At 38.0% G+C, this 13,552-nt stretch overlaps 1 long non-coding RNA gene across 3 annotated transcripts in view; it reads right to left on the reverse strand.

The window, feature by feature from the left end:
* Nucleotides 1-221: 221 nt before the first annotated feature.
* The window catches only part of LOC105374492 (uncharacterized), a 153,067-nt gene continuing 139,736 nt past the window's right edge, over nucleotides 222-13,552 (reverse strand). For all 3 annotated transcript variants that reach the window (XR_001741374.1, XR_925406.4, XR_001741375.1), the window contains exons 2-3: nucleotides 983-1,110; nucleotides 222-321 (exon numbers count right to left, since the gene is read on the reverse strand). This is a non-coding gene — a long non-coding RNA (uncharacterized LOC105374492). The remainder of the gene's footprint in view (nucleotides 322-982; nucleotides 1,111-13,552) is intronic.

The following is a 13,552-nucleotide window of genomic DNA, read 5'->3' on the forward strand; positions in this document are numbered from 1 at the left end:
TCTCACTGTCGCCCAGGCTGGAGTGCAGTGACATGATCTTGGCTCACTGCAACCTCCACCTCCCGGATTCAAGTGATTCTCATGCCTTAGCCTCCCAAGCAGCTGGGACTACAGGCACACACCACCATGCTCAGATAATTTTTTGTATTTCTAGTAGAGACGGGTTTTACCATATTGGCCAGGCTGATCTCGAACTCCTCACCTCAAGTGATCCACCTGCCTCAGCCTCTCAAAATGCTTGAATCACATGAGTGATCCACTGTGCCCAGCCAAGTTCTCTTACCTTTTTGCCGTAAGATGAGAGATCATTCCAGGAGCTGTCTAGGAGAAAGGCAAGAAAGATCAAATTTGAGCAAGGAAACTTTATACACACTGCCAAATATCTCCCTCATCACAAGTAGATATCAATCAATATGATTTTGCCTTCCCTTCCCACACATTTGAACTTTCAGGATTCTGTCTAGTAATATAATCTTTTCACAAAATTTTCCATGAATCACCCCCTCCTTTATAAAATCTATAACTCTTGTGAATTTTTATTCGCATTTATCCAAAACTCTCAAGACCCACCTGTCATTATGTCTTGGATTACATGTTTTTCTGTGCTGGCATTTAAATATTTTGAAGCAAGCACTATGTCATACATGTCATTCTATCTATTATGATGGCTTCCTTGGGCTAAACAATAAACACTTTTTAATGAATGAAGGAAGGAAGGAAGGAATAAGGCATGGACTTAGCTTCTGTGTCTAAACCATCCATCGTATCATTCACTCAAACATCTTTTCATGTCCTTCAGCCAGACAGCCAACTGTTCTTCCATCTTTCTAGTCATTTATACATATCTACATTCATTCATTCAGTCATTCAAGATTAAATAAGCAACTGTATGCTGGCAGCAGTTCTGGCAACTGGAGTGCAAAATACAGTTTCCCAACCAGACTCCAGAGTTCTGCCGATCAGATTTATATTTAAAGCTTACCCTCTGACCCCAGAAGTGAAAGGTGATTCTATGGACAAGTGGACACTGGAGTAAGAGCTCAGAAACACCAACATATCTCCTGAGTTTTAGAATTGCCATTTCACGACATCAAATCCATCTTTTTCGTTCTGGAAAATAAAATGACATAATGTAAACAACATGCATCTTCCCTACAAATCTTTGCCATTTTATCAATTTGTTGAAACTCAGCTCAATACCAGTTTAAATGTTTTCTAGTTTTACATCCATTATCTCATCAAATATGTGCCATAGGTAGAGTAAGCTATATGATTTCTCCTAATTGTATAGGATTACTATATTGCAAAAAAATAAAAGGAAATACAGGTGCAGATCGCATAAATAACTTGCAGAGTTGAAAAACAGAGAACTGAAGGAGAAAATAAAAAAAAGAAGTCTCCTGAAACTGACGTATTCCCTGTGTATGTGCCTCATTCACTTCAGTGACAGAACCAGTAATGAAAAGTTAAATAAAATCCTCATAACTAAAGTCTGTTCAGCAAATTTCAGATCATGGTTATTTCTCTCTTCTCTTTGGACAAGCAATACCGTTTATTGTTTTCACTGTATGTTTGTCAATTACAAACTGTGATGCCTCTAATATTACTGCATTCAACTGTCCTTTAGTACTTCCCTGTTTGCTCACAGTGTATGAACACTTTTTTTCTAACTCAGGAATGTTCATCTTCCATGCTTGTCTTTGCTTCAAATCTGGAATCAGATAGAACTGGTGTCAAGATTCTGTCATGTAATGATGTATAATTTAGGGCAACTTTATGAGGCAATTCAAACATGGGTGTTGTCTCAGCCTATTCAGGCTGCTGTATCAAAATACCATAAAATGTGTAGCTTATAAACAACAGAAATTTCTTTCTCACAGTTCTGAAGCCTGTGAAGTCAAATTTCAAAGTACTGGCAGATTTGGTGTCTGGTGAGGGTCGATCTCCTGATTCGTAGACAGGGCATCTTATTGTGTTCTCATATGGTGAAGGGTGTGAGCAGTATCCCTGGGACCTCTTTTAAGAGGACACTAGTTCTGTTTTGGGGCTCTCCCCTCATGACTCCATCACCTCCAAAAGGCTCCACCACTTGTAACTATCACATTGGTCATTTGGTTTCAGCACATGAGTTTTGTGGGGATACAAACATTCAGACCATAGCATTTTTCCTCTGGCTCCCCAAGATCCATGTTCTTCTCACAAACAAAATACATTCACTCCATCTCAATAACCCCCAAAAGTATTAACTCAGTCCAGCATCAACTTTCAAATAAAAGTCCAAAGTCTCATCTAAAAATTACTTAAATCAGATCTGAGCAAAACTCAGGATACTATTCACCCAGAGGCCAATTCTCCTCCAATGGTGAACCTAAGAAATCAAACAAGTATGTACTTCTAAAGCGCAATTGTGAGACAGACACAGGACAGAAATTCCCATTCCAAGAGGAAGAAATAGGAAAAACAAAGAAAGAAAGAAACAAAAACATCCTTGCACCTGCTCTGTGCCTGGGCCCACCCTCACAATAGTTCTCAGTCGTGACCCCACCTCTGTAGCCACTCTGTATCTATGTCATGCACCTTTGGCTTCCCTGGGCTGGAATTACGTGCCAGTAGCACCCCTATGGGTCCACTGAGTATTATATTAAAGTGAGGTCTCTGCAATAGTCCCATACTCATTGTGAACTTTGCACATTGGGCCTGTGATGGGAGTGGCAGCCCTGATGATTTCTGAATTGCTTGCAAGGTCATTCTACCACTGTCTTGAAAAACAGGTCCTGGTTGACCAATCTTCTTATCAGATAGTCATTTGGCCATACCCTTTGTGTTCTGTCCTGAACATGCTTTCTCTTCCTTTTCAGTATGGATATGCTAAAATTGTTCCAAATTTTTAAATTCTGCTTCTCTTTTGATTAAGAATTCTGTCTTTGAATCATATCTCTCTTCTTGAATTTTACTATAATTCATTGAGAAAAGCTGAGCTATATCTTCAACATTTTGCTTAGAAATTTCCTCAGCCAAATATTCAACTTCATTGCCTACATGTTCTACCTGCTACAAACACGAGGGCATATATACAATTCATCCAAGTTCTTTGCTGCTTTATAACAAGAATGGACTTCATGGTCCATATTTCTACCAACATTCTCTTCATGTCCATTTAGGTATTCTTTAAGAAGATTGAGGTTTTCTCTGCAGTTCTCCTCTTCTCCTTCTGAGCCCTAACCAGAATCACTCTGTAAGGTTCATTCAGAGCAATGTAGATTTTTTTTCTAGCATTCACCTTGAAACTCTTTCAGTATCTACCCATTATCCAGTTCCAAGGTTGCTTTCACAGTTTTAGATAATATAACAGCACTGCACTTCTTGGTATCAATTTTCTGTCTTAGTCCATATGAGTTACTATAATGAAAAAATGCATAATTTGGGTAGATTGTAAACAACAGAACTCTATTTTTCACAGTTCTGAAGGCTGAGAAGACTATAATCAAAGCTCAGGAGATTTTGTGCCGGATGAGGGCTCTTTTCCTGGTTCATAGTCAGTGACTTCTCACTGTGTCCTCACATGGTGAAAAGGGCAAGTGGTGTCTCTGGGGCCTCTTTTGTAAGGGCACAAATTTCATTCATGAGGGCCCATCCTCATGACCTAATCATCTCCCAAAGGTCCCACCTCCTAATGCCTTAATGTTGGTGATTAGATTTAGATGACTACTTTTTTGGGGGGTGGTGTGCCATAAATATACAAACTATAGCAGTTGTCTTCATCCTTAAAAACTAAAGAGGATAATGGTATTCCTCCCATTAGTCATTATGAAACCTAATTGAAATACAGAGAGCAAAATTGCTTAACATCATTTGGAATATATAGTCAGTGCTTGAAAAAGGTAGCTGATTGTATTATTACAACTAATATCTTATTATACCCTTGCATTATCCCAAACACGGTGGGATAATTGTTTGTTTTTTTGTTAGTCTAAGGGACTAGGCAGTATATGAGCAAAGTAGGAATCTAATACATATTTGTCTATGAATTTAAGATAATGTCCAGTAAAGAGTGAGAATTGAATTACTTTTATATGACAGGTTGAGAATCAAACAGAGGGACATCTCCAGAAACAGAATCTACAGCAGAAACTCTCTTAATTTTTTGATGGGTTATAGGAAAAAAGTAAAGAAAACCATTCAGGCTAGCTCAAAAAAGTAGGAAAGTGTTACCAGAAGCAGCAAATATCAGAGAGAATAAATATGAGTAAGCTGCACAAAAAGTATAGATTATAATTTGAGAGTATCAAAGAATATACCCATTCTTTCATCTCTCTCCTCTCTGTCTCTCCTATATGTGTAAAAATATAGCATGTTTGAAAAATCACAAAAGGTTTCCAAATTACTCTATGACTCATACTTTTGAGTAATCTACTTAATAAGTTGAGTTTTTCAGCACGGTGATAGCTTTGTAATAATAACATACCTTTCTGATATTCATCGGAAGAAATAAAATTCCAGTGACTTTTGAACTTTCTCATCATCTCATACTATTAGTAACCTTGGGAAAATCAACTCTTATAGACTTAACCTTGTTTTTTATTTGTTCTTCATTTTCTATGTCAGCTTTATAACAACATATGTGAGAAAATGTATACAATTAGAAAGTAAAAATTGAAAAGTGAAACAAATGATAAAATGCCAGCTGTTATAATCAACATTATGCAGCTCTCATGATGGAACCACTGACAGAAAACTGTTTTCGCAGTTGTGGGTCCTAATTAATTTGAGGAATGGGAATATGAACATGAGTTACTACTAAGTGTGGAAGTTAGAACAGAAAGTTTATCTGTCTCAAGATAAAAATCTAGGACCCCAAGTCTATGAGGTACTCTGGTATTAATTAACACTGCTGAGTCCATAAATATTTCAAGTTCTCAGTAAATAAAATCTAATCTGGCATCCCATATTTGACTTTCTAATTTTTTAATAAATGCATTTATTGTAACATTACTGTCTCATATTTTTATAGTTCTTTACAATTTGCAAAATCTTTTCATATATTTATTTGATTCTCATGATACCAAATGGTAGGGCACAAATGATATTATGCAGTCTGTTTCTAATTTTTTTTTTGCTCTTTTCCTCAGTCTTTCATTCTGGGCACATAGTAAGTAGTATGACATTTCCTTGCCTACTTGAAGTTTGGAGAGGCCCTGTGACTATTTGGGGCTGATGAACCAAGAGGGAATTGGCACATGTCACTTTGGGGCCATGTCATGCTTCTCTGCAATATCGTTTTCTTCTGCCAAAGTGACTGGTAAGTTTCAGGACTGTGGCAGTTTCATCAACCAGGGACCCTGAAAAAGTAAAATGATAAGCTTCCTGCCTATCTCTCCACCTTGTGATGGACATGTAGAATGAGTAAAAGTGTACTATTAACTGATCAGGACAAAACTCACAATACCAATAAGACAAGGCTCCCATATCCCTTAGATAGTTTCTTCCAACTCATTTTACTGTGAATTTATTTTAACAGGTATTTATTGAGCTTCCCTGATATCTAAGCCCCACACTGGCTGCTGGCATTTCAGAAGGGAAACAAACAAGGTATTTGCCTTTTAACTCTTGCAGATTCTTGCTGACAGCTCATCACAAGCAAATAATCAAAAGTCAAAGTGATAATTCATAGCCTACGGTGATGTTGAGAAAGCTTCAAGAGTAGCAAACTAACACTTTCCCATTGCATCCCAGACGGTTTCTCAGAGATAAAATTTGATCTGGGTAAGCTGGCATTTTCTAGGTAGAAAAGGAAGGAAGCTTTCTAGAAAGAAATAATGGATTCAAGAAAGGACTCAGGTTCCGTGAGCATTTCACTGAGTGTGGTGGCAGAAGTGAAAGATGAGACTAGAAGGATATTATTTAAATCAAGTGATGAAGCAGTTTGATTCACCTCTATTTTCAGTCATCCAGAAGGCATTTATAAAATTTCAACAACTGTCTGTCCCCGCTTTTTTCCTTATTAATTACCACAACTAACCAACTGTATATTTCACTTCAGAAAAAAAAACAACTCTTGCTTATTATCTGTCTTCCCCCCCAAAAAAGAGTTCCATGAGGAGAATTTTTGTTGTTTTTCTGACGCTGATTTAATAAAACAAAGATATAACATTGGCTCAGATTTGGAGCTTCAGAATCAGAGGCCCTGCAATAACATCCCAGCTCTGCCACATCAGCTGTGTGAGCGAAGGGTCAGTTGTTTCCTCTGTAAATTGGGTATCTGCTATGCCTAACTCAGAATTTCCACATGGATTAAAGATAATGCCTGGGAAGTGATTGCACACTGTGTAGCACAGAATCAGCACAGAGTAAATGATAGTCACTATTTTTGGAGTTGAGCAAATTATTTCTCTTTTTACAGTTTCGTGTGTGTGTGTGTGTGTGTGCATGCATGCAAATGTTATTTTCCCTCTAAATGTTGCTTGAAGATCTCTAAGGGCCCTCTTGAATTTCTTAAAGGCTACTAAGTAGAAGGTATGGTGCAGGGGGAGGGTTCTGAAGACTTCAATCCAAAAAAGCTCCTCTTATGTTTTCATACAACAGGTTTCTGCTGAAGATTTCTTTTGAAGAGCACTCTGTTTCAGAAAAATAGAGTTTGAAAATTCTGACATCCAGATTTTCTCCCAGCTTTAAGGTGTCTTTAAGGCTGATTGAAGACTTACTGCGTGCTACCTTCTTCAACAGGCATTAATGTTTCTGATATGGCTGTCCCTACCTCATTCTTAAAGCCATCAACCTCACGTAGGGAAAAAAGAAAGAGAGTGTGACTGCTGGGACTGCCTACACAAAGAAGGGGGTGCTTCTGGTTAAGAGAATCCAAAAGAGATTCAGAGTGGAGGTGACATTACAATTTCTCGTTATTATTAATAATAAATGACTAATATCATGCAGGGCTTGCTATGTTGCAGACATGGGCTTGATGCTACGTGAATCAGCATGTGTCATTTTTCAAAAACTGAATTGCTGTCCCCACTTTAAGAGTTAAAAAAGGGAAACACTAATTCTCCAAGCAGTGAAAACAGTATTTGAACTAGGTCACTGGCTCTGAGTGAGGTTTCTTTTGGAGGGGTTGGGGAGGGAGAGGGCTGGCTAGAGTATTTGCTTTTTAATTGTTAATTTTTGTGAGTATTGCTGGATCATATGCTAGCTCTATTTTTAGTTTTTTGAGGAACCTCTAAACTGTTCTCCATAAGTGGTTGTATTAGGCCATTCTTGCACTGTTATAAAGAAATACTTGAGACCAAGTGTGCTGGCTCACGCCTGTAATAGCACTTTGGGAGGCCAAGGCAGGTGAATCATGAGGTCAGGAGTTCGAGACCAGCCTGGCCAACATGGTAAAACCCTGTCTCTACTCAAAATACAAAAAACAAAAAAAAAAATTAGCTGGGTATAGTGGCGGGTGCCTGTAATCCCAGCTACTCAGGAGACTGAGGCAGGAGAATGGCTTGAACCCAGGAGGCAGAGGTTGCAGTGAGCTGAGGTCTTCCACTGCACTACAACCCGGGCAACAGAGTGATACTCTGTCTCAAAAAAAAAAAAAATACTTGAGACTGGATAATTAATACAAAAAGAGATTTAGTTGGCTCACAGTTCAGCTGGCTGTACAGGAGGCATAGTGGCATCTGCTTCTGGGGAGGCCTCAGGAAATTTTCAATCATGATAGAAGGCAAAGGGGGAGAAGGCACACCACATGGCAAGAATGGGAGCAAGGTGGGTGGGGGTTGGGGAGATGCCATAAAATTTTACATAACCAGATCTCATGAGAACTCACTATTATGAAGATAGCACCAAACTATGAGGTATCCAACCCAATGATCCAAACACTTCCCAAAAAGCCCTGCCTTCAGCATTGGGGATTACAATTCAACATGAGACTTGTGTGGGAAGAAATACACAAACCGTATCATTCTGTCCTCGGCCCCTCTCAAATCTCATGTCCTTTTCTCATTGCAAAATACAACCATGCCTTCTCAAGAGTTCTCCAAAGTCTTGACTTGTCCCAGCATTAGAAGTCCAAAGCCTAGCCACATGAAGAAAACTGAAACTGGACCCCTTCCTTATACCTTATAGAAAAATTAACTCAAGATGGATTAAAGACTTAAACATAAGACCTAAAACCAAAAACCCTAGAAGAAAACTTAGTCATTACTATTCAGGATATAGTCACGGGTAAAGACTTCATGACTAAAACACCAAAAGCAATGTCAACAAAAGTCAAAATTGACAAAGGGGATCTATTTAAACTAAAGAGCTTCTGCACAGCAAAAGAAACTATCAGCAGAGGGAACAGGCAACCTACAGAATGGGAGAAAATTTTTGCAATTTATCCATCTGACAAAAGGCTAATATCCAGAATCTACAACACACTTAAACAAATTTACAAGAAAAAAACAAACAACCCCGTCAAAAAGTGGGTGACTGATATGAACAGGGACTTCTCAAAAGAAGACATTTATGCAGCCAACAAATATATGAAAAAAAGCTCATCATCACTGGTCATTAGAGAAATGCAAATCAAAACCACAATGAGATACCATCTCATGTCAGTTAGAATAGTGATCATTAAAAAGTCAGGAAACAACAGATGTTGGAGAGGATGTAGAGAAATAGAATGCTTTTACACTGGCAGTGAGAACGTAAATTAGTTCAACCATTGTGGAAGACAGTGTGGAGATTCCTCAAGAATCTAGAGCCAGAAATACCATTTGACCCAGCAATCCCACTACTGGGTATATATGCAAAAGATTATAAATCATTCTACTATAAAGACACATGCACATGTATGTTTATTGCACCACTATTCACAATAGCGAAGACTTTGAACCAACCCAAATACCCATCAATGATAGCCTGGATAAAGAAAATGTGGCACATATACACCATGGAATACTATGCAGGCATAAAAAAGGATGAGTTCATGTCCTTTGCAGGGACATGGATGAAGCTGGAAACCATCATTCTCAGCAAACTAACACAAGAACAGAAAACCAAACACTGCATGTTCTCACTCATAAGTGGGAGTTGAACAATGAGACCACAGACACAGGGAGGGGAATATCACAAACTGGGGCCTATCAGGGAGTGGGGGGACTGGAGGAGGGATAGCATTAGGAGAGATACGTAATGTAGATGATGAGTCGATGGGTGCAGCAAACTACCATGACACATGTATACCTATGTAAGAAACCAGCACATTCTGCACATGTATCCCTGAACTTAAAATATATATATATATATATATATACACATACATATAAAGTAAAAAAGTCTCATCTGAGACAAGGCATATTCCTTTTACCTATGAGCCTATAATACCAAAACCAAGTTGTTTACTTCCAAGATACAATGGGGATATAGGCATTGGGTAACCATTTCTATTCTTAAAGGGAAAAATCTACCAGAAGAAAGGGGTTACAGGCCCCATGCAAGTTCAAAACCCAGCAGGGCAGTCATCAAATCTTAAAGCTCCAAAATAATCTCCTTTGACTTCATGTTCCACATCCAGAACACACTGTTGCAAGAATTGGGCTCCCAAGGCCTTGGATAGGTTCACCCCTATGGCTTTGCAGGGTTCAGCCCCTTAGGCTGCCCTAAAATGTTGTTGAATGCCTGTGACTTTTCTAGGGACAGAGTGCAAGCTATTCGTGGAACTATTATTTTTGGGTCTGGAGGGTGGTGGCCCCTTTCTCACAGCTCCACTAGACAATGCGCCAGTGGGGATTCCATGTGGAGTGTCAAACCCCACATTTCTTCTCTGTACTACCCTAGTACACGTTCTCTGTGTAAGCTCTGCCACTGCAGCAAGCTTCTGCCTGGGCTACCAGGCTTTTCCATACATGTTCTGAAATCTAGGTGGAGGCTTCCAAGCCTCAATTATTCTTGTGCTTTGTGAACCTGCAGGTTTAAATACACATAGAAGCTGCCAAGGTTTGTGCTTTCCAGAGCAGTGGTGTGAGCCGTATCTGGAGCCTTTTGAGTCGAGACTGGAGCCAGAGTAGTCAGGATCTAGACATCAGTGTTCTGAGACTGTGCAGGGCAGAGGGGTTCTGGACATGGCCTACAAATCCATTCTGTCCTCCTAGGCCTCTGGGCCTTTGATGGAAGGAGCTGCTTGGAAGGTCTCTGAAATGCCTTCCAGGCCTTTTTCCCATTGTCCTGGATATTAGCTTTTGGCTCCCTTTTAGTTATGCAAATGTTTCTAGCAAGTGGTTGCTTCACAGCCTACTTGAATTTCTCTCCTGAAAAAGCTTTTTCTTTTTCTGTCACATGACTAGGCTGCAAATTTTTTAAAAAATTTTATGCTCTGCTTCTCTTTCAAATATAAGTTCCAATGTTAAGACATTTCTTTGCTTCCACTCCTGAGTATATGTTGTAACAAAGTCCACCTCTTGAATGCATTGCTGCTTAGAAATTTATGCTGCAAGATAGGGTAAATCATGACTGGGAAGTTCAAACTTTCACAGATCCCTAGGTTGTGAACTGAATGCAGCCAAATTCTTTGCTAAGGCATAGCACACATGACCTTTGCTCCAGTTCCCAATAAGCTTCTAATTTCCATTTGACACCTCAGCAGCCTGGATTTCATCATCTATATCATTAACTGCATTTTGGTCACAATAATTCAACCAATCCTTAACAAGTTCCAAACTGTCATGCACCTTTCTGTCTTCTTCTGAGCCCTCCAAATGTTTCCAACCTCTGCCTGTTACCCAGTTCCAAACTTGCTTCCACATTTTCAGGTATCTTTATAGCAATGTTCAACTCCTCAGTACTGATTTTATGTATTAGGCCTTTCTGGCACTACTATAAAAAAAAACTTGACAGTGATAATTTATGAGAAAAAAGATTTAATTGGCTCACATTTCTGGAGGCTGCACAGAAAGCATAGTGTCATTTGCTGTTGGGGAGGCCTCAGGGAGCTTCCAATCATGACAGAAGACAAAGCAGGAGCAAGCACATCACATGGTGAGAATGGGAGCAAGAGAGAGAGAGAATGGAGGAGGAGGTTCCACACACCTTTACACAACCAAAGCTTGTGAGAACTCACTATCACAAGGACAAAATCAAACAATGAGGGATCCACCCCGATCCAAACACCTCCCACAAGGCATCACCCCAGCATGAGGGATTACAATTCAACATGAGATTTGGTTGGGGACAAATATACACACTGTATCAGTGATCATACTAATTTGCATTCCCAGCAACAGTTGGGAACAGTGTATGAGGATTTCCTTTCATCCACCTCTTTGCCAACATTATGCATTTTCTGTTTTTTGGAAGAAAATCCATTTTAACTGGGGTAAAAAGTATCTTATTATAGTTTTGATTTGCTTATTTCTGAAGATCAGTGGTACTGAGCACCTTTTCATATAGCTATTTGCCATTTATATGCCTTCTTTTGAGAAATGTCTATTCAGGTCTTTTTCCATTTTTAATATCAGATTATTAGATCTTTTCCTATTAAGCTTTTTTGAGCTCCTTATGTGTCCTGGTTATTAATCCCTTTTCAGATGGGTAGTTTGCAAATATTTTCTCCTATTCTGTGTGTTGTCTCTTTCACTTTGTTAATTGTTTACTTTACTTTACAGAAGCTTTGTAACTTGATATGATCCCATTAGTTCACCTTTTCTTTGCTTGTTGTGCCTGTAGGGTATTACTCAAGAAATCTTTGCACAGACCAATATTCTGGAGAGGTTTCCCTAAGGTATTCTGTTAGTAGTTTCATAGTTTGAAGTCTTAGATTTAAGTCTTTAATCCATTTTGATTTGTCTTTTGTATATGTGAAGAGATAGGAGTCTAGTTTCATTTGTCTGCACATGGCTATCTAGTTTTTCAAGCATAATCTATTCAAGAGACTAAACAATTCCCAAATGTATGTTCTTGACATCTTTGTCACCAAGTTCACTGTAGATGTATGGGTTTATTTCAAGGATCTCTATTCAGTTCTTTGCTCTTCATGTCTGTTTTTATGCCAGTACCATGCTGTTTTGGTTACTAGAGCTCTGAAGTATAATTTGAACTCAGGTAATGTGATTGCTTCACGTTTTTTATTTTTCTCAGGATAGCTTTGGCCATTCTAGGCATTTTGTAATTTTATATAAATTTTAGGATTGTTTCTCCTATTTCTCTGAAGCATGCCATTGGTCTTTTGATTGGGATTGCATTGGATATGTTTACTACTTTGGGTAGTGTACACATTTTAATAATATTGATTCTTCCAATCTATAAACATGGAATATCTTTCTATATTTTTGTGTCCTTTTCAATTTCTTGCATTAATGTTTTATAATTTCATTGTAGAGATCTTTCACTTCTTTAGTTATGTTTATTCCAATGTATTTTATTTTATTTGCATCTATTGTAAATAGGATTACTTTCTTGATTTCCTTTTCAGATTGTTCACCATTGACATAAAAAATGCTATGATTTTTGTTTATTTATTTTATATCTTGCAACTTTACTGAATTTGTTTATCAGTTCTAATAGTTTTCTTTTGTAGAGTCTTCAGGTTTTTCCAAACGTAAAATCATATCATCTGCAAGCAAGGATAGTTTACTTCTTTCTTTCCAATTCAGAACCCCTTTATGTCGTATTGCCTTTGGTAGGAATTCTAGGACTATAAAAAATGACAGTGGTAAAAGGCAGCATACTTACGTTGTTCCAGATCTTAAAGGAATGGCTTTCAGTTTTTCCTCATTCAGTATAATACTAGCTATGTGTCTCTCATGTATTGTTTTTATTTGTTGAGGTATATTTCTTCTATATCCAATTTTTTTAGGGTTTTCTTTTTAATCAGGAAGCCATGCTGATCTTTAACAAATATTTTTTCAGTATCTATTGAAATGATCATATTGTCTTTGTCCTCCATTCTTTTGATATGTTGAACTATCCTTGCACCCCTAGGATAAATCCCACTTGGTCATGATGAATGATCTTATAAATATGTTGTTGAATTTGGTTTGCTGGTATTTTCTTAAGAATATTTGCATCAGTGTTCATCACTGATATTGGCCTGTAGTTTTGTTTTTGTTCTTGTTTGTTTTCTTATTTTTAAAGAAAACACATCACATTTTCCTGGTTTGGGTATCAGAGTAATACTGACCTTGTAGAATGAGTTTGGATGTATTTTCCCCTTCTGTATTTCTTATAATAGTTTGAGCAGAATTGACATTATTTCTTCTTTCAGTGTTCTTCAAAATGAAAAGTGAAGCCATCAGGTCCTTGTCCTTTCTTTGCTGGGAGACTTTTTACTATGGCTTTGATCACATTTCTTCTCATTGGTCTGTTCAGGTTTTGGATTTCCTCATGGTTCAATCTTGGTAGGTTGTATGTGTCTAGGAATTCATCCATTTTTGTTCTAGGTTTTTCAATTTATTGGCTTATAATAGCTCATAGTAGCTTCTAATGATTCTTTGAATTTCTGTGGTATCAGCCATAATATCTTTTTTTGATCTTTTATTTTATTTATTTGAGTCTTATCTCTTTTTACTTAGTCTAGCTAAAAGTTTGT

This window comes from Homo sapiens, chromosome 4, assembly GCF_000001405.40.
Source record: "Homo sapiens chromosome 4, GRCh38.p14 Primary Assembly".
Lineage (NCBI taxonomy): Eukaryota > Metazoa > Chordata > Mammalia > Primates > Hominidae > Homo > Homo sapiens.